This window comes from Homo sapiens, chromosome 15 (genome assembly GCF_000001405.40).
Source record: "Homo sapiens chromosome 15, GRCh38.p14 Primary Assembly".
Taxonomy (NCBI): Eukaryota; Metazoa; Chordata; class Mammalia; order Primates; family Hominidae; genus Homo; species Homo sapiens.
In genome coordinates this window covers 73,852,691-73,873,558 of record NC_000015.10, presented here as the reverse complement: position 1 = coordinate 73,873,558, position 20,868 = coordinate 73,852,691, and the positions used below count along the sequence as shown (strand labels likewise).

The following is a 20,868-nucleotide window of genomic DNA, read 5'->3' as shown; positions in this document are numbered from 1 at the left end:
AAGTCCCCTGGAACTCTCATCACAATGACCTGGAACACGGGAACACCCACCTTTAGAGATGAGACACAAGCAGGAGAAGAGGGATTAAACCTGCTAGTTTTGGAAAAAAAAAAAAAAAGGAAAGAAAAGAAAAGAAAGAAAGAAAAACAAAAAACAACAACAAACAGAAAAATGCAAAACTGCAGAACACGCAGTGGAGGTTGGATTCAGAGGACATGGGGATCAGTGTGGGCTGTGCTGGTCAAGGAGGGCTTCCAGGGAGAGGTGGGCCATGAAGCCTTGCTCTCTATCTCTGACTCTTCCTCTGGACTCTCTTAGCTGGACTCCCTCCCTATTCCACCAGACCAGTGCCCAAAGTTGGAGAATAACTAGAAACCAGGCTTCAGATGTCTTGGGTACCAGTTATAAAGATTCAGAATCAGTATGTCAGTGCTGGGGCCTGGGGGGCTGGGGAATGTGTTTTGATATGCCTCCTGGGGTGACTTAGCTTCAGCATTGGAATGGTAGCTTCTGGGGTGGAGATCAGTTTTGTTTAGCTTTTTATTTGGAGCACTTACGATCGTGCCTGAGTAGCTGAGTTAATGATTTAATTGAATGGGAGAATAAATGAAGCTGTCTTAGACCTCATCTCACTTCCCTCTCTGTATGTATGACAGAGATTTGTGCCTGCCCCATATCACCTCCTACCCTGAGTTCCTTTAGGCCAGGGTCAACATCAGATTCCTCTGTGGTTCCCTCTCCCAATGCCAGTTCTGCCATCACTTGGCACTTGGTAGGTGCTCAATATTTGTTGCATGGACCCAAGGAGTTGGCTCTGCTTGGCTCCAGCATCACTCTTCTCCACCTTAAGCATTGCTTGCACTTCTACTCAGGTCCCATCTGGCTCTAAAGCATCCTTAGTCATTAGGAGATGATAGTAATTCGACCAACCAAATTGGAATCAGGAGCTGGGTGTTGGAATTTGGACTCTGACCTCAAATTTGGATGCTCCCCGCTTCTGAGCTACAGATTCCCCAGACATGAAATCAGAATACAGTCAACCTCTGGCTTTCACCTCCTTATTAACATAATGAATCACTGTCCATATGGAGTCTTCCACGGACACAATTCATTGTCTCATTTACTGTTTCTGTTCTGCTTGCCTGCGGCACTGCAGAAGGCCTTTTAAATCAAAATGCCTTATTATCGGCCTCTCTCCTCTACCCACTACCCTAGCTCAACCTAGGAGAGAGTTAAGAGCCTCTTCCCTTTGATCTACTGCCCCTAGGTCTTCATGGAGTGGGAGGTGGGCAACGTTGAGTAGGGAAGGTGTGGAGTAAGGATGGGGCCCCTTGCACATTAGGGTGGCTTCATTCTAAGGTCTGCAAGAAGTTTCCAAAGCAAATGTTTAGAGCAAGAGACATAGACATCATTTAGGATTATCTATGTCTCTGTTCTTCCACATTAACCACGTAGGCAACTGAGGATTCACTGCAATTGTTCCTTGAGAAGATGAGGATCAGGTCGGGAATTGGAAACATCTGAGGGCTCAATTCAACCTGGCTTCTAAAACGAACATGGTGAACATAGATCAACTACTGAACTTCTTTTAACCTCTGGCATCCTATCTGTGAATTGTAGGTGATAACCCTTCCCCAAATGAGCCAATACAGTTTAGTCATATTACAAAAGCCCCATAGCAACCACATGGAGGCTTAATATTCAAACAGAACTGCAGGACTCTGTAACGGAAGCAAAAAGGGCTTTTATTCCATCCCTCTTTCTTCTTTTTTCAGATTCTGAAAGGGAATTACATGTGTCCATTTTTTTCCAGGGCTGAATGATCCTTACCATGTCCATTTATTTACATAATTGCCCAAGTGCCTTGGTTTCCCATATATTGCTTTTCTGTTATGCATTTTCTCATCTCTGATGGGAATCCAGCTTTCTGCTTTAAACTTCTATACGTGAGGATTCTTCAGGGAAAATATTATTTTAGGTGTTTGCATTAAAGAAGTCCAAGGAGGGAGAAACCCACTCAGTTCATTTTTCTCTGCTGAATCTGGCTGTCCATTAGCTGATGTGGCTGGCATGAGGAGGGAGAGGAGACTTGGAGTGGCCTGGGGAAGACCTCTCATCAATGAGAAAGCTCATAGGCTTTGGTGCCAAAAAGACCCGGTTCAAATCCTGGCTCTGCTGCACACCAATGATATGACCTAGGTTGAGAAAGGCAGTCTCATGCATGTGGTTTTTTAACCTCTGCTCAGCCCCATACAAGTGGCCTTGAGCCAAAAACACTTCCTTACCAACAGATAAGGAGCTCTCATAGCTTGTGCTGGGCTTATCGCCTTACGTGGGAATATCTTTTTCCTGTTTCAGACTCAGCGTGTACTCTTTGTTCTGCTTAAGCTTGTGCGTCATGTGGCAGGCACCTGGCCAACCCCACTGTTATATCTGTTCCAGGTGGGGAGGAAACAGGGTCCACCCGCTGCTGCACAAGAGGGGTGTGTGCAGACCGTCACCTTGTGTCTGCTGTAGCAGGAGACCCCTGGCCATGCGGGACTGAACCCATGATTGCAGCTGATCTTACTCTGTCTCTTCTCTGTGTGAGTAAAGTGTTGTTCCATCTAGTGCCTGTGTGAGTCGTGTCTTTCGTGGCGACACCTATAAACCATGGAGTGGGCTGACATCCTGGTTCTGCTGCTCCTGGTGGCGGGCATTGTTGTGCTGTTTGCCGTCCTCTACACAGTGCGAATCTTCTCTACCCTGCCCGAGTCTCGGCATCTCCACATGTGCCATGAGGATGGTAATGCTTTACAGAACTGAAGGTAATTGAAGCATGGCCCTGGAGCGCAGGAGGCACCCAATGTGTGGTAGTTATTATTATCTTCAGCATCGCCAGTATTATTACTAATGCCTAGGACTTGTCCACAAAAATCACTATGAAAATTTACTTCTGTGAACTAGACTCACATCAAAATGCTGCCTGCTTCCATGAGGCTTGTAGTGACATCCATGTACAAGTTCAAAGACCCTCTGAGCCAATTTCCACTTCTCTGCATGTCTCTGGGGACCTAGGGGACCAGGATTACTATAAAAGCAGGTAAGGCCAGTATTAAAAAGCAGGTTCACTCCAGTTCCCTTCATGTCAATGCAACAAGACACAACTTTGTGAAATGCCATGCAACTGTATCCCTGTTAACAAGTATCAACCCCTTCAAAGGATACCTACCCATGACTGTCTCAGTCTGCGGCACTCTAGATCTTGATAGAAATCACACGCATTCTGATTTTATTTCATTGCAAAATGCCAAGGATCTTCCATGCCAAAGCTGCACTTTTCTCTTTACCCCTCTTTGTGGAGGACCAGGGTAAGTTTAGATTTTTGGCTTCAGGCTTTCTGCCCTCAACTCCATGGAGCATGGCATTTCTGACAATGCTGGAGATGGCTGCACGTCATGTGTCACTAGCGTGAGGATAGCAGGGACGGGGAGTGGTGGAGACAGCTCCCTTCTGAGCACCAAGGTAGTTGGATTCCCCAGAGCAATAACCAGCCCAGTCACCCTAGAAATCCCCTAACCTAGTTGGAGGGCTAAGGAGTTACTGCACTTTGGGCCATCTCTAAGGTCTTGGGGAGCCCACCTCCTAGGTAGCTCTCTTGCATTCCAGAAATAACCCATAGGAGCAACTCTGGACAAAAGAGGGACACTCAGCCATGGGCAGCTGAGGCAGAGCTCCTGACTACTCTTTCCACCCAGTCCTGCTCCGTGAGGGGTCTTCCTCATGGTTCTACCTGTCACCTGTCCCCCAGCCCAGGCTCCTGGGTCACCACCAAAGCAGGTAGCTCGGACTCACCAAGCCCAGGCTATGCCTTTCCTGCTACCCATGTCTCCTGTTCATTTAGTCCCCAAGTCTCCCTCTTGCCTGTGGACCTCCCCACCACAGCTGCCTTTTACTGGGCACTTGCTATATACCTCCGGTGAAGTGCTTTACCTAAGTGAGTGCCAGCCTTGAACACTATGAAGTCAACAGAAGCTCAGAAAGGTTAAGTAACTTACCTGGGATCATCCAGCCAGAACATGGGGAGCCAACAACCTTCCTAGCTCTGCCTAGCTTTGCCACTAGCCAGGCCGTCACAGTGTCACGTGGAGCTGCCTCCCCCTTCCTGTTGGCAGTGGTGGGCATCGTGGAGCTCCTAGCTGGCTCAGGGGACTGTAATCCTACAGCCCAGTGGGGAGGGGGGGGAGTTTGCTATAACTCCCTCTCCAGGTTTTAAAATAGTTATTCAGTCTAAAAACAGACTATGTGGTGCTGGTTGGAGGTGGGGGTGGGGAAGTATTGCAACCTAGATTATAAAGATGATGGAAAGAGTGAAATGGAGAGGAAAAAGGACAAGAAACTCCAGCAAATGCCAGGGACTGCTAATGGAGAGAAATAACATGGCTAATTACATCTCTGAAGGCTATCCATTCCAAAATAAATGTTTAATGAAAAAATAATGCATTTTCCCTGCAACTTAAATCTGGGAGTGAAGAGAATGAGCAGAGTCTCCCAGTGGGCACTAGAGTAGCTGTGCATGTGCAGGGTTGCCTCTGACCGTCTCACCTTGATGAGTTGCTTCCCCAGCGTCCTCATCCTGAGGGTGACCACACAGCAGTCTTCCCAGGGAAGCCACAGGAGTGAGCCATGGGAACCTCACACACCAAGCAACTAGGCTCCAGGACACCAGGGGCAGACCAAGGTCTGTAAATCCAACTCCCTCCCCCACCAAAGCTTGCGATGTTTCTCTCCAACAGCTCCAGGAGGCCTTCTCTGGTTATTTTCCTCCGCCCACCTCTCCTTTCCATTCTCTCCATCAGGGAGTTCCAGATCTTAAATCTATGGGTATAAAGTTGAGGTCCTTCTGTGAAATGAAGGCTCACCTCTAACAAGCCAAACAGATCTGTTTGGTAAGTGTGGGTTTTGGAGAAGAGGAGCTCCTCCACTCTCCCCTCTTTCTAGCATAATCTGTAGACCAGAATAGGGAGAGAGAATCATGAGTTTTAGAGTCAAACAGACTTGGGTTCAGATCCTAGTCTTATAACTTACTTGTTATTTGACCCAGGTTAAGTCATTTAGTTTCCCAGACTCATTTTCCTTATCTGTAAAAGGGGGTGCTTTGTAAAATTATTGTGTGGTTTAAATAATGTCTGCAAAGTGCTTTTCACAGTATCTAGTATCTAGTATACTCAAGCATTCAGTAAACAGCAGTTTTTTGTGTTATCATTTGTTTCAGAGCACAAGAAGGCTGACCTTGAACTCCTCAAGATGCTTGCTCCTGGGATTCTCCAGCTGCAATCAGCATCCCCCACCCCCACTTGCCTGCGGTTGCTACATGGGTCAGACAGCAAGGACCACAGGGGCACTAAGTTTGCTGCTGACTCTTGACCTCAGATGGGCTATTTGGCCAAGGGCCCAGCTCTCCCTCCAATGTAGAGGAGGCAGGGAGGCAGGAGCCAGCAAGAAGTTCCTCCAGGCAAAGGGAAAGTGGCAAAGATACTCAAGAGCTCACAGGTACCTAGCACACATTGCCCATGGGCACACATATCACTCTGCAAACTATACACGAAACCCCTGAAATTCAGGAGTACACAAGCCCCCACAAAATGTAGGACCACATGCTTCAATATTCACTTTCCAACATATTCAGATCCACAGAAACACAAATAGCCCCGCGTAATGTGCATACAAACACATCTATATCATGCTGCAACATGCCCACACTTACACGTTTCCCCCAAAACAGCATGAAATCAATCTGGGCACCTCACTTCTATGGAAAACTTGCTCTCTGAAGTGTGAACATTTGTGCACACACACAAATACACCTACCCTGTAGGTCCAAATGCCTGGGCAGCATGCCAGGAATGGCACCCCTGGGCCTTGCCAGTCATGGCAGCAATTCACAGATGATTCCCTTCTCCCTGGAGAGATCCCAAGCTGGGGGCCACCGAGGGGGCTGGGCAGTGGGCAAAGGGCTGACCCTGGGGACTTATTAGGGGTCAGGGTTCATGAGGGCAGAGCAGGAGACCCCAGGGGCCTGGAGTGATGGAAGAGACAGACGAAGCTGGGGCTGGGGGAGGAAAAGCAGGAGGATGGAGATCTACACTGACACCCTCAGTCCTAGAGGCAGAGAAGAGGTTCAGATCTGGCCTGGTGCGTTCCAGTGTTGGGCAGAAGCAGGGAGACTGGAATTACTTCTTTCTCACTTCATTCCTCATTTTTTCCCTTTTCTGGAGCTATTCCATCCTCTACACCCTGGGAGACTCTGACTGGGGCCTGGATCTGGCCAGAAAGTAGACCTGTCAGTATCCTGGAGACCAGATACAGGAAGCTTATTACTGAGCTCTCCAAAGCCTGATGCCCGGAAGCAGCATCAGCTCACTGGGTTGGCTTGGAGGAGCAGGACTCTTGCGGCCTTTGCCCTTTGTCTTTGGGACCTCCTCTAGGGGGCAGGAGACAGGTGGAGGATCTTACTTCCTCTGGGTCTGAAACTTTCATTCACCCAATGAAATGGGGAGGCGCTATACTCGCATGGGGTAAACCCCTGACCCCTACCCAAACTCACCAGGCTGGTATGGTCATAAACACACAACACCCAGAGGCAGGAGGTCCAGGACATTTCTCCCACGACCCCTTATTCCCACCTCAACTCCTCCCTATCCTGCCCCGTGCCCTATTCTCTTCTTCTCCCAGCCTTTCAAAGGCAGAGTGACCCTGCAAACCCTCTCCTCTGCTGTCTTCAGTCCTTGACCAAGCTGGAGGCAGCACTGATGGGAATTGTTCCTGCCCCTCATGGGCAGAGCCTGCAGACTCAGGATGCTGCTCCACTAGCCAAGCAGCTCTTTCCACTAATAGATTGTGTAGAAAAACATTTGGCCAAGATAGGAAGGAGTCAGTGAGGTCAAGGTTATGGGGGCAATTCCTTTGTGAGAGGATCTGAGAAAGACAATTCTACAACCTGAACACACATGGAAATCTGGCCCTGGCCACAGCCTGGTCTTGACTACAGAGTTTTAAATTGAGTCCTGAAAAACATATGCAGCAACTTTGCTTCGTAGGTGAGAAATTAAGCTCCAGAGAGGGGCAGCAGCTTACTTAAAGTCACACAGCAAATCAAAGGAATACCTGTAACTAGAATCCAGTCTCCTGCCTCCTATCCTGGTTATCTTTAGATGGCAGCAAAAGGCGATGTTTTAAAAGCCAGATTTTGAGGAAAAGAGGAGTGCCCAGGTTAGCTAGTTTGATGAAGGAGCCCTGGAAGGTCTTATTTCCTGGTGCATAGGTATTCTTTTGTTTTCCTCCTCTTTCCTTCCGGGGCTGGGCCAAATGAAGGCTAGAAAGTGGCAGATTCTGTTTATCCCTGGGATGGAGGGGTACAGGGAGGCAGGGAGACGGCGGGGAGGAGACAGGGCTGGGTTGGGCTTTGCCTCCTCTGTTCCCGTCTTTGAGAGAGTAGCAGCCTCAGTGGTTGCAGGAGCACGTGATGCCACTGTGCAAAGAGGCTGAGATAAGAAGGAGGATTGATCTTTTTGCTGCTTCAAAGAGAACAGAAACCCTCCCTGTCATGGCTGTTGATCAAAGTCTCTGCAGAGGATATTTAATATGCCCTACCCTGCTCCGACTTGGGGTCCCTGGAGGTAGGAGTCCCACTTCTTGTCATGCTGAGACCTTCCTCCAAGCCTTACTGCAAACTAGAGAGACACCTTCCCACCTACCTTCCAGCTAGGGTCCCACTGCAGCTACCAGAAGCCAGGAGTTCAAACTCCTTTCTAGCCTTTTTCCCAGGCAGCTTAGCCCAAGGCCAGGGAACAGTCAGTAGGAACTGATATCATCCCCATCATACAGATGAGAAACTGAGGCATAGGGAGGTTAAGCAACTTGTCTAGAGCCACAAGCTAATTATCTCTTGGGAAACCCCCATTATTGCAGGGTTACATGGCCTTTGTCTGAAAGCCCCTGTCTGATGGTAGAGATAGGCTCCTCCCTCTAGAGCTGCCAGCTCATGTAACATATGTACAACCCAAAAGGACTATGGAAATAACCTCTGTGAAAAAGGAGGGATGGGCTCTGTTTCAAAAATGTCTTCTTTAAAAAATCTTGAAAAATCCAAATCTTTAATTTCACTTTGCCTCCCTGGTGGGGCAGAACAGATTTGTCTTGCCCCTTCTCCTGCCCCTTCACAAGCTATACCCAACTCCATCTGTTTGCAAATAGTGCTTTGTCTTATACGTGAAAATCCTTAAATGCTTATCCATTGAATAAGTGCAAATTTCAAAGTCCTTAGCTGGGCATTCAAGGCTCCGAAAAACCTTGAGAGGCCATGTGGCCTACTGGTTAAGAGCATGGGCAAACTTCCCAGGCTAGCATCCCAGCTCCTCAACCTCACCTTTCTTTAGCCCATGAATTTTTTATGTGTGGCTTAATTTCCAGTATTTGAGAGATTTTCCAGATATCTCTCTTTCGTTCATTTCATTTGACTTCATTACAATCAGAGAACATACTCTGTATGATTTCAATTCTTTTAAGTTTGTTAAGGTTTGTTTTATGACCTATAGAATATGGTCTATATTGGAGCAACTTGAAAAGAATGTGCATTCTGCTGTTGGGGGTGGAGTGTTCTACAAATATCAATTAGATCAAGTTCATTGGTAGTGTTGTTCAGGTCTTCTACGTCCTCACTGATTTTCTGTCTACTTTTCCATCAGTTAGTGAAAGATGAGTTTTGTTAAAGTCTCCAAGTATAACTGGGTTTGTTTATTTCTACTTTTACTTCTCTCAATTTTTTGCTTCATGTGTTTTGAAGCTCTATTGTTGGATACATATACATTGAGGATTGTGACAACTTCTAGATGAATTAATCCTTTTTTCATTGTGTAATATTCCTCTTAATCTCTGATAAATTTCCTTCTTTAGAAGTCTAGTTTGCTTTAAATTAATATAGCCATTCCAGCTTTCTAAAAAAAGTTTCATGGTAGTTTTAAAAATCATTTAATTTTTAACCTATCTATATCATATTTAATGTGAGTTTCTTATATATAGCATAGAGTTGGTCTTATTTTAAAAAAATCTAATCTGACTATCTCTGTCTTTTAATTGATATGTTTAAACCATTTATACTTAATACATTCGTTGATATGGTTGGATTTAGGTCTACCATTTTATTGTTTGGTTTTGGTTTGTCCCAAATCTTTTATTTCTTTGTTTCCCCTTTTCTGTCTTCCTTTGGATTATTTGAATATTGTTTTAGCATTCCATTTTTCTTTCTCTGTTGCCTTTTTTACTATATCTTTTTGTATTTTTTAAGTGGTTATTCTAGGGATTATAATACAAATACCTAATTCTTCATGGTCTATCTAGAGTTACTATTTTACCGCTTCAAGTGAAATATAGAAACCTTGCAGCCATATAGGTCCTTTTCCCTCCTTCATGCTGTACTCGTTATATACATCTATAGACATTGAAAACCTCATTATACAATGTTATAACTTTTGCTTTCAGCTTAAACAGTTTTCAGCTGTTTAAGATGTCTTTGGGTGAGGTTGTCTTTGAATTTATTGTTTTGGGGATTTCTGAATATACTGAGATCCATGAATCAATACATTTACGTCTTTTTACCAAATTTGGGACGTTTTCAGCCATGATTTCTTCCAGTTTTTTTTCCGCACCAAGCAAGCCTTTTCTTCTCTTTCTATAGTACATATTTTAAAGTACTTAAGGAGAAAATAATTTATTATATTTACCTAGTTTTATAATTTTGTCATCTTCCTTTACTCCTTAAGTTCCAAGTTTTGAGTGGGAGTGTGGCCTTCTTCAAGAGAGTAGCAGCAGCAGTGGCTACAGGAGCAACTCAAAATGAGTAAGAGAAAGACATCTGGAAAAATCTCCCAAATATTGGTATCATTTGTCTTTCTCCTGAAGAATTTCCTGTAGCGTTTCTTTTGCAGCTGGCATGCCAGCAATAAATTTTCTTAGTTTTTCTTCATATAAAAATATCTTTACTTTGCCTTTTAAAAAGGTTTTGGGTTTTTGTTTGTTTGTTTGTTTTGTTTTGTTTTTTAACTGGGTATGGAATTCTGGGTTGACAGCTCTTCCAGCATTTTAGAGAATTTTTTCCATTGTCTTCTGGCTTTGATGGTTTCTGATGACAAATCTGTAGGCAATTTAATTGTTCTTCCTCTATATGTATTGTATTGCTTTCCTCTGGCTGCTTTTAACTTTTTTCTTTATCCTTGGTTTTCAGCTGTTTAAGATGTCTTTGGGTGAGGTTGTCTTTGAATTTATTGTTTTGGGGGTTTCTGAATATACTGAGATCCATGAATCAATACATTTATGTCTTTTTACCAAATTTGGGACGTTTTCAGCCATGATTTCTTCAAGTTTTTTTTCTGCACCAAGCAAGCCTTTTCTTCTCTTTCTATTGAACTCCAATGACATGAATATTAGACATTTTGATATTGTCTCACAAGTCCCTGAAACTCTATTCTTTCTTTTCAATCTTTTTTTCTATGTTGTTCAGATTAGATAATTTCTATTGATTTATTTTCAAGTTTATTGATTCTTTTTTCTGTCATCTTTGTTTTGCAATTGAAGCCCTGAGGTGATTTTTAAAATTTCAGTTATTGTATTTTCTAGCAACAAAATGTCCATTTTGTTCTTTTTAAAATGATTTTCAGGTTCTTTTTTGACAGCTTCTATCCTTCCATTCATTTCAAGATCATTTTTTCTTACTTTATGAACTATAGTGATAATATCTGCTTTAAAGTTTTTGTGTGATAACTCCATCATCTGGATTATCTCAGGGCCGGCATCAGTTAATTATCTTTTCCTTTGAAAGTAATTGAGATTTTCCTGGTTCTTTGTGTATGGAGTAATTTGGGGCATTTTGAATATTATATGATCAACCCTATCTAGTTCAGACCACAAGTCCTGACCTGCTTTGGATCAGTTCTACACATGCCCTGCTCAAGGAAGAGTCCAGGACTTCACCCACGGATTTAAGGAAGTCTTTTCTTTAGCACACCGCGATTTCCCTTACACTCTCTGGCGCCCAGAGGCCCTTTTCCGGGTCTTTGTGCTGCAACGCTGGAGTTTTACCCTCCCCTAACTGTTGCATATTTCCCCTGCCTGGGGTCCACCTCCTGGGTGAAGCAAAAAGACAAAGAAAGAAAGAAAAATCAACAGAATTTCCCCCACACCTTCATAGGGGTTCCCTTTCCCAATTCCTCTGACCAGAGAGAAGGATTTTCCTCATGGTTTTAGATCCTGCACTACCAACATTACAGGAGTATAGTTTCATGATTGGGGCTTTCCTTGGGACATACCCAGGAGAGTAAAAGAGAGAACAATTGGGGTCACTCTCTGACCTGCAGGGTCCCTGTTCCCAGTCCTGTGGCTAGAAGGAAGAGTTCCTCTTGGAGCTTTTTTGTTTGTGCCCACTGTGCAGTGGCATTTGGGCCCTCTAGCATCCAAGTCAGGAGATATTGGAGGGAAAATACCAGAAAACTCACGGTCATATTGATCATTCTTTGAGCATTTATTTCCTGCAAATCCACCTGCTATTATTTTTTTTTCAGTATTCTTAAACAGTGTTGCATGCATTCATTCCAGGGATTTTATTTGTAAGCAGTGGGAGAGAGAGGATGAAATTTGCTTACTCCATCTTAGCTGTAATCAGAAGCCTGTAGACATGTAATTTTTAGTTGAAAGGTATGGGAGAATGTAACAAATTTTGGAAACAGTATTGCAATATTTAAGAGAATGTAAAAGTTATTCTATTTATAAATTTATTTATTTATTTATTTTCTTTCTTTCTTTTTTTTTTTTTTTTTGAGACGGAATCTCACTCACTCTGTTGCCTAGGCGGGAGTACAGTGGTATGATCTCAGCTCACTGCAGCCTCTGCCTCCCAGGTTCAAGTGATTCTCCTGCCTCAGCCTCCCGAGTAGCGGGGATTACAGGCATCCACCACCATGCCTGGCTAATTTTTGTATTTTTAGTAGAGATGGAGTTTCACCATGTTGACCAGGTTGTTCTTGAACTCCTGACCTCAAGTGATCTGCCCACCTTGGCCTCCCAAAATGCTGGGATTACAGGCATGAGCCACCACACCCAGGCAGTATTTTTATAAATTTAATTTATTGTATTTACAATGGATTTTCAAGTACGTGATAAAAAGATTTTGCTTATTCCATTAGATATTTAAGTTACGTAGGAAAATCAAATATATTAAATGTTTAAATGTAGCTGAAATTGTTTAAGCAAATTTAATTGAGTTGTAAAAGGCACTGATTGTTTAAAGGAGTAGTTTTTTCAACCTGAGTTAATCAAACTTTAATTGAAGAAAAAGTGAAGGTCTTGTTCTTATTTTATTGCATTTATGCATAGAACAATAAGATTGGTAAGTGGAGCTTAATCCTTCTAAAAAGCTATGTTTTTATATGTGTATCCTTAATAAATTGCCTATTAAATTTTAAAAGGTAGCTATAAATAGTATTTCTGTGTGCACAAGCCCCCACACACTCAGCAAAAAAGCCTCATCGACAGGATGCTTCCTTCCACCACTCCCAGGCAACTCTCACTGTCAGAAAGATGTCTTTCTCTCCACCTGAAATCCATGGGTAGTATAGACTGTAGAAGATACAAGCATTTGGAGACAGATTGGAGAGGAACTTTACTCCTCTGTGCCACCCTCTCCCTTCTCTGAGCATCTACTCTCCACACAACAGCTCCTGCTCACACTCTGTCCTGCTCTAGCCTGTCGCTCTTCTCTGGGTGGTTCTGTACCCAGGAAGAGAGCTGGAGGGAAGGTCCCTCCCCTGACAGCCCTGCTCCAGGATGGGCTCAGAGCAGGTGCTGAACCTGTGCAGGGACCACTGGGGCAGCTGGCCGGGGAACATGAGGCGGGGAGGAGAGGCCAGGTCCTGGCCATGTTTCTCAAAGCCTAGGCTGCAAAGAGGCCAGCAAAGAGGGGACAGTGAGGCCTCAAGCACATTGGGGACCACCTCTCTGGACTCAATAATGAAAACATCTGTATAAAGAACTTGATGGTTTCAGAAGGTTTCCATCCTGCGGCCATTTGACAGTGGGAGTTATTACCTCTTACCTGCAGAAGAAATATCCAGGGGTCCAAAAGAAGCACTGTACCTTCCAAGGTCACAAAGATATCAAGGGAAAACACCCAGACTAGAAGCCAAGGCTCCGGACTTTCAGCCTCTTAGTCTTTGCCTCTAGCATTCACAGGGGTGGGGTTCGAGGAGATAGTGTGAGAACAGAGCAGTGAGTGAGCAGCCACTCTGCATCCACAAACAGCCTCTCCCTGCTTCCTTCAAGTTTATCTGCTGGAAAGAGGGGTAGACGAGGGAGGAGGTAGAGCCAGAGAGGCATCGCGTCAGCCGCTCACTGTCTGTGATGGGTGCAATCTGGAAGCCCCAGTGGCCTAGCTCTCTACCCTAGGGCTGCAGTAGAGCCCTACCCTAGGGCCACAGAGACACCATGGACTTCTGCCCCAGGCTTCTTCCTGGTATGCCAGGGAGATGCATGAGGTGAGCATCTTTGGAGCTTTCCCACCTCCTTGAGTAAGCAGTGATAATACTGGCTGGAGGAGAAGCTCTAGTTCAGATCTAGCCTCCCTTCCTGCACTGTACCCCAGGAAGCTTTGCTCCCTAGGTGTGAACCTGGCTGGATTCCAGCTTCTGAGATCTTTCATCCTGGTTTTCAGTGAGCTGGAGTGGAAAAGTCTTTCTCTGTGTGGTTAATTTTGCACTGGCCCATTTTCCCTTTCTCTGTCCTCTTCTTACCTGACTCTAGGGGATGCCAAGGGAGGAAGACACAGCCAGTCAGCATTCCTTCCTAGGAGCCCATCAGAAGCTTCCAGGAGAGAGCCTTGGATGATGTGTGTGTGTGTGTGTGTGTGTGTGTGTGTGTGTGTGAATTTCCTGAAGACTGGCCAGGCCTCCCCAATCAGACAGGCAGGGACCCAGCCTTGACCAGCAGAGCTTTCAGAAGAGATGTCTCCCAACACCAAGGCCTCCTTATCCCACTGGCAGGTTCAGAAAGTGGAAGATGCTGGCAGTCAAAAGAACCCAGGCCAGCTCATTAGCCACCACTATCCAAAGGACTGGCCAGGCTGCTGGCAGGTGGGAAGCTTTGTCACACAACCCAGGCCAGTGAGGAACCAGGCCAGAGCTGGCAACCGGAGGACCGGATACCTGAGCACACTCCACAGATGCTCAGCCCTGACGGGGGTGGGGGGGGCGGGGGGGGTGGGAAATGAGTCAGCACAGCCCCTCATTATACAGATGGGAAACTGAGGCTCGGAGGGGGGCAAGCCCCTGGCAAATGTTGCAGGGCAAGGTAGGGACTGAAAACAGGTCTTTGAATTTCAATGTGGGTTTTTTACATAGTACCATGTCTCATTGTTCTAAAATCAGTAGATGGAAAGTTTGTTCATCTTTATTCATTGCCCCCTCCCAGGATACTTTTGGGTACCCGGCTAGTGCTGAGGCTTGGGGAGACCCAGGATTACGTGAGAGCCACTCTCTCAGTTGGGCCTTCCTCCCTACTTAGTGTTCAGGAGCCACGGCATGGGTTGGTAACTATGAAAGGGGATGTGCTGCAATAAAGCTACCAGCAGAGCAAAGGGGGATACAGGAAGACAGGAGACAGAAGGGGAGGGATTTTACTCACTTATACCTTACTTCATTCCCAAAAGATTGATGGTGGCAGAGAGGCTGTGAACCTACAAAGGTTTCAGGGTATGAGCTGGTCTTAAAGAGTGAACAGGATTCAGAGGACAAGATGAGGATGGGTCTTCCAGGAGGAAGGAACAGGTTGTGTAAAGACACAGGACATGTGTGAGGTCTCGTAGAGCCCAAGGTGGCTGAGGCAGAGGGGGCAGTGGAAATGCTGAAGGAGTGATGGTCCTGTTCAGATGGCCAGCCCATCGTGGGAACCATTGTGGATGAGCCTGCCCTTCAAAAGGCTGGTCACCTTGGCCTCAGTCACTGTTGTTGTATAACAAAGTCCCCAAAATTCAGTGGCTTAACATAATATTCATTTAACTTATTATCCTGTGGGTCAGAAATTTAGTCTGGGTTCTGCTGGGTGATTCTTCAGTTCTCAGATGGGGTCACTCACTCTGGAGGTCAGCTGGCTATTGGCTGACCTAAGCTAGCCAAAAGCACAGACACAAGACGGCAGGCTCCAATGTGAAAGCTCATTTCAAACTTCCGTTTGCAGCATGTCTGCTAGTATCCCATTGGCCAAAAGAAGTCACATGGCTGGGTCAACTCAAGGGTGAGGTAGTGACGTAACCTCTGTTCATAGTGGGAGGACAATACAAAAGCACACCGCAGAGGGCCAGGACACAGGGAGCAGGAAGCACTGGGCCATCAATGCAATGCAATCCACCAGTCGTTGGCCACCCAGCTTTGGCTCGGGTGTCTGCACTCACATCCCCAGATAGGTGCAGAGCATGCCTCTGGAACCTAGCTCAAAGGAACCCAGCTCAAATCCTGCCTTCTCAAGGGAACCCTCCTTGCTGACTCTGCCCTCAGTTGAGCTTACACTACCCAATCCTGTGAGAGCTCAGTAGTTTGTGTGTGTGTGTGTGTGTGTGTGTGTGCATGTGTGTGTATGTCTGCCTCAACCAGATGGTGGGAACTGGTACAGGGTTGTCTATTTATCACCCTACATGCTGGGTTGTGGAGCCACATGGGTGACTTGGAAATGACCCCTGCCCTCCGTGAAGCCCAGTTTCCTGTAGGAGACACACCTGCCAGCAGTGACAGTCCAGCATGGCAAGTAGTGAGATCAGGCACATAGGGCACAGAGACAGCCCAAGGGAGGCACAGGCCCAGCCCAGCCTCCAGGAAAGGCTTTCTGAGAAGGTGAAGCTGGAATGAAGTCTAGAAGTTGAGTAAAAAGTTAAGATAGACCAGTGCCTGTAGGCTAGAGTGGGAGGATTCTGTCGTAGCTGGGGACAGCATGGCACAGGTACAATGGTGAGAACAGGTGGACATGTCTGAGGAGCGGCCGTGGCTGCCTGCAGCTGAGCTCAGGAGGGCACCTTGGAGGCAGAGGTGGGAGGAAGCTGGAGAGGTGGATAGGAGCCAAGTCATGGAGCCCTGGGTGTCGGGTGAAGGATGAGCAGAAGCAAGAATGTGAGACTGCAGGGCCTGATCTGCATGTCAGAGCCGGCTCTGGGTGGCTAGGGCAGAACAGAAGCCAGATCGTGGGCAACAACAGTCCAGGGGAGATGAGGAAGGCCAGAATCCAGCAGAGGTGCTGGAAATGAAGAAGAGAGAGTGGATTAGAGAAGGGATTCCAACTCTTCAGGCCTTGGTGACCTGCAGGATATGGCACTCAAGGCCCAGGGTTCGGGGTTTGGGGGTCCCCTGGAGTCTAATGGCTGGCTCTGGGAGTCTACTGGTTAGAAGTCAGGGAGATATGGGGCAGGCCAGCCTAGAGCCAGGGGTCCCTAGAGGTCAAGGTCCCAACAGGCTTGGGGTCCTTGACTCCGCACGGCAACTCTGGGCCAGGGCAGCCTGGCACACCTGGGCTCCACCACCTCCTTCCTCTTCGTCTGGCACACCCTGATGTGGTACTGCTGAAAAAGAGCAGGGCGAGCTTGAAAAAGCCACCAAAGACAGGCAGTACTTTCCCCAGCCCCAAAGCCGGCTTCAGAGGCCGCTTCTGCCATAGGCCTTAGGGGCATGATTGTTCACCAGGGAGGCCCTGAGTGGCATGTCCGTCCCCTGGGGAGCTTCAAAGGTGGCCCCGCCAAGCCAGCCTCCTGTTTCCTGCTGGGAGATGGGGGTCTCAGTCCTGCCGGCCACCTGGGAGTTTTTGACGTTTTCACCTCTGAGCCTCTGGTTGACACCACTTCAAAGAACATTCCTTCCTCCCTAAAGCTTCCTCTCGCCCCTGGGCTCCCATTGACTGAGAACTTGTTACCAGCTGTGCCCAACTGGCCCAGAGCCAGGGCTTCTCTGCTCTGCCGAGGTCCCAGCCAGGTTGAGTCTGGCTCAGTGTGCGGGTGCCTTGTACTGTCTCTCCTGAAGAGTTGGTTCTATCTCTCAAGCAGCTGCTAAGGACATTGAGGCCCTGGGATCTCAGATGAAGAACTCTCTGAGGAAGAACTGTGCTGTGTAGAAGTGTTTTTTTCCCCTTCTTTTATTTACAGGCAAGAGCTGTGTTTCAGAGCAAGCCCTGACTGGGGCATCAGGGGGCCTGGCTTCCTACCCTAGCCCTGGTGATTTGACTTTGGGTAACCTCTTTGGGCTTCTGTTCTTGCAACTCTAAAATGAGATTAATAAGACTGGTCTATGAATTGAATAAGACAATACATCTGAAAATACTCATGTGTCTGGCTAAGTTTTTAAATTTATTAATTCAATAATACCCATAAGACGTTACCATGTACCCCCTATTTCCAGTACAGGGGGAAACCTAAGAAGGGAATCCATTGAGGGGAAGGACCTCGGAGAGTTTGCAGGCAGGTCCTATTATCAGCCCCTACTCCACACTCAGTGTCAAAGAGCACAGTCAGGTTAAACCCAGCCAGCAGGTACCATGGTGGGAGAGCTTGGTCCCATGAGTACAGGATAGTGTACCAGGGCTGCAGGGGCTGGGGCAGGAGATAGTGGAGTGGGCTCCTCTGGAATGAGAAGGAGAAGACAGAGAAGAGGCTTTGGTCTATGAATCCTGAATCTCTCGACTGACAAGGAGCACGGCCTGCTGGTCTGACCCAGTGTCATAAATTTGTTTTAATGTAGTTGATGTCTCAGCATCCATTTTAAGGTTTAATATAAATTATTTAAAGCCCAAAACACTTCCCTTCCCCATGTAGTTGTTTGCAATATAGCCTGCTTGTTCCTCATCCCACTGACCCAATACCGCTGATCCCACAGCTTCTGACCATGATGAAACCTAATGGTCAACACCAGAGTCATGTAAATGAGTCCCCCCTTCAAGTATCTTTTCTCTGAACCAGCCAATCAACAACCCCTGTGGGAAAGCCCAAATGATAACGCTAAGGCTTTAAGAAAGGCAAAGTCCCACAGGTCCCCTCTTTCTCTCTCTTCCCCCTGCCCCAAGTTGAACTCCCTGTCACTTTTGGACTTCCTTTGGACACCATTGACACCCCTAACCTATGTGGGACCTCAGAGTAATAAATTTCTTGTCCTTCTGCATTTTACTTTCATTTCTTCTTTGTGTCTCACACACCCAAACCTAACTTTCCCCCCTTCAGGGCTCTCCTGGAGAGTAGCTATCTTGGCTTATGGCCAATCTCAAGAGACAGACCTGGAGACCAAATTACAGTGAAAATCACCATACAAGGGAGACCAAATGGTTCTACGCTGCAGGCACAGGGCCAGGTCTCCTTGGGGCCAGGATGGTGGGGAGGCCTGGCCGTGGGCCTCTGGGACATTCTAGAGCCGTTGCTGCCACAGATTCACCCTGGAAATGCCAGCCCTTCTTTTCCTGCTGAAACTGGAAGCCTGGAGGAGGAAGAGAGAAGTCCCCAGCCTCTAAAGCCAGGACTGGGAACCTGGGGCACAGAACCCGGGGGTACAGAAACTGCAAGTGGACCAGCAGATAGGACGGCTGGAACGTGAATCCTCTCTTTGGACTTTAGAAGCAATCCTTGGGTTCCTGGGCAGGGTGAGCAGGGCAGGTCAAGATGCAGAAATGGGCAGAGAGAAGCAGAGAAAGGCAGACCACACTTCAGGGCTCTTCAAAGTCAGGGACCTGCAGATCGCTTCTTCTCCAGAGCCCAGCCAGGGTCTGGTACAGTGGAGCGGGGAATAAGTATGTGTCAAGTTGATTTGATAAGAGAGATCTAGAGTGACATCCAGCCACAGAGATGGGGGCAGCTGGAGAGACAGAGGAGCTGAGAGGTGAAAAGAAATGCATACTCAGGTAGAAAATCCAAGAGAGAGAACGGAAATGGAGAAGGGAGAGAGAGGAGAAAAATAAAACCGAGATGGAGGAGAGAGCAACAGAGAAGATACTGCCTTCACTGAGTCCCAAAATAGCAGCTGCTGGTGCCGGCAGCCTGCCCTGAGATGGCCCTTTAATTGGGGCTGAATTCAGCACTCTCTGAGCCCAGTGCTTGTGTGTGGGTGTAGCTGTGTGCTGGTCCAAGGTTGTCAGAAAAGGCCCAGCTGGAGTAAAATGTGTGCCCGGGGTGTGGCTTCCCTCCCTGGGCTCCCCAAGCCCCCTCCAGCTCCCACTCTACACACCCAGGCCACAGATGCCACAGTGAGGGAGCAGCACCTGTTCTGGGGTGGTCAGGGCTTCTCCAGCTTGCCTGGGGAGAGGGGAAGAAGGATTTGGGGGAAGTAAGTCTGAGGGAGCAGGAAGATGCTTCAGGGAGTGGATGATCATTGCATTTTGGGAAGAGATCATTGTCAGAGTTGGATACTTAGCGTTGTTATTTTAGGGACAACTTATACTTTCATAAAACTCTCTTAACAGGCTGATTGTCTTCTCACATCCTCTCTTCCAGATGCTAGCACCCAGTTGTGTGGCCAAAGCAGCCATAATTTAAGGTACCACCTCCTCTCCAATCCATTTACCTATTGCTTAGGAAGAAGGGCTGATTCTGCTTTCTTATGGGGACACATTCTCTGCTCCAGCCAGGTATAGAGGTGGCCTGCTTGGGCTCCATTTCCCTTTAGGATACAAAGAAAACACCTGATAGTCTTTACACTGTGAGGAATCCTCTTTAGATGCCAAGAATTTTCCAATGATGTGAAGAAGAAGACCAGTATACAGGGAGAATTCAGTTGAATGACCACCTTCCTGCCTCCCTGATCCATCACATGAAAAATTTGCAACGTTTTCTATAGATTTATATTACACTTGTGATACTCAATACTATTAAAATGTCATATTTCAATATTAAAAATATTAATTGGCAATTTGTTACAAAATGCCCTCAGACTCAAAAGAAGGGAAGGGAATTTATATTTGTTGAGCACATATTTATATGTCAGGAACTGTGCTTTGTAAACATTTTTACTTGTGTTGTATGACTTCTATGATGTCTTCATTATCATTTCATTATCATTTCTGCTTCCAGATCTGGGAACAGTGGCTCGGGGAGATGAGGGAACTTGCCCAAGGGTACCTACCTAGTACCTGGAGGCACTGGAGGCTGATCTGCCTGCCTTCAGAGTTTGTTTCACTATGCCAGAAGACCCAGAGGACCTCGGGGTGGCAGGGCTGCTTCTAAGAGCAAGGCTGAAGACTGTCATAGAATGTGGAGTGAACAGAGTCTTTCTGAAGAGTTGTGGGAAATTAATAAACAGGGCTGCTCCACTCAGCCTTGTTGGGCCTCATCTGAGTAGCCAGCCTGGTGGCTAGTAGAACCCTCATCCCACAGGGCCAAGACTTTAGAGATGTCAGAGGTTGGGTTCCCCTGGAAGCATACTCTGAGAAAACTAGTATGCAGAAAGCATCAGGAAGGGGTCTCAGGACCAATGCCTGTAGGGGAGGGGAGGAAGCAGGATTGGGCAGAGGGAGAAGTTGGGCAGCAATGCAGTTCCCATGAGAGCCTCCAATGATTCCATAGGAACTCTGAGGTTGGGAGGACCCTTCAGAGTGGGGTGAGGGAGCTGGGCCCTAATACCCTGTCATTGGATGTGGACTGCCCTGGGAAGGGGGTGTTACCTTAGGCATGGATGCTTTCTTCAGCTGAGACAATTCCCAGAGGGGCTGAGAAATGAGAAGCGTCAAAAAATCGTTTTCCTGGCAGCTGGGAGAGTAAGCCCTTTAGTTCTGAAGGGGGCATATGGGTGGTGCAGCACGGCACCCATGATAATGCTGCCAGTGGGGAGGTGG

The 20,868-nt window shown here is 46.9% G+C and overlaps 1 long non-coding RNA gene across 6 annotated transcripts, besides 1 other annotated feature; it reads left to right on the top strand.

Annotated features, from left to right (window-relative positions):
* The first annotated feature begins 23 nt into the window (after positions 1 to 23).
* Positions 24 to 7,372, top strand: LOC102723657 (uncharacterized). Of its 6 annotated transcripts, none has more exons than XR_001751602.2 (7): positions 44 to 199; positions 319 to 421; positions 1,456 to 1,616; positions 2,443 to 2,807; positions 2,947 to 3,082; positions 5,255 to 5,532; positions 6,258 to 7,372. It is a non-coding gene; the product is annotated as an uncharacterized LOC102723657 (long non-coding RNA). The 6 variants fall into 6 exon arrangements; XR_001751603.2 differs by having other exon boundaries at positions 319 to 425; XR_932455.3 differs by lacking the exon at positions 319 to 421 and having other exon boundaries at positions 24 to 264.
* Positions 15,875 to 16,567: an enhancer, noted in NCBI's record as "H3K4me1 hESC enhancer chr15:74149333-74150025 (GRCh37/hg19 assembly coordinates)". NCBI's record gives its function as "activates a minimal SCP1, AML or CMV promoter by ChIP-STARR-seq in primed H9 embryonic stem cells {active_cell/tissue: H9 hESC(primed)}" and the evidence as "EXISTENCE:reporter gene assay evidence [ECO:0000049][PMID:30033119]".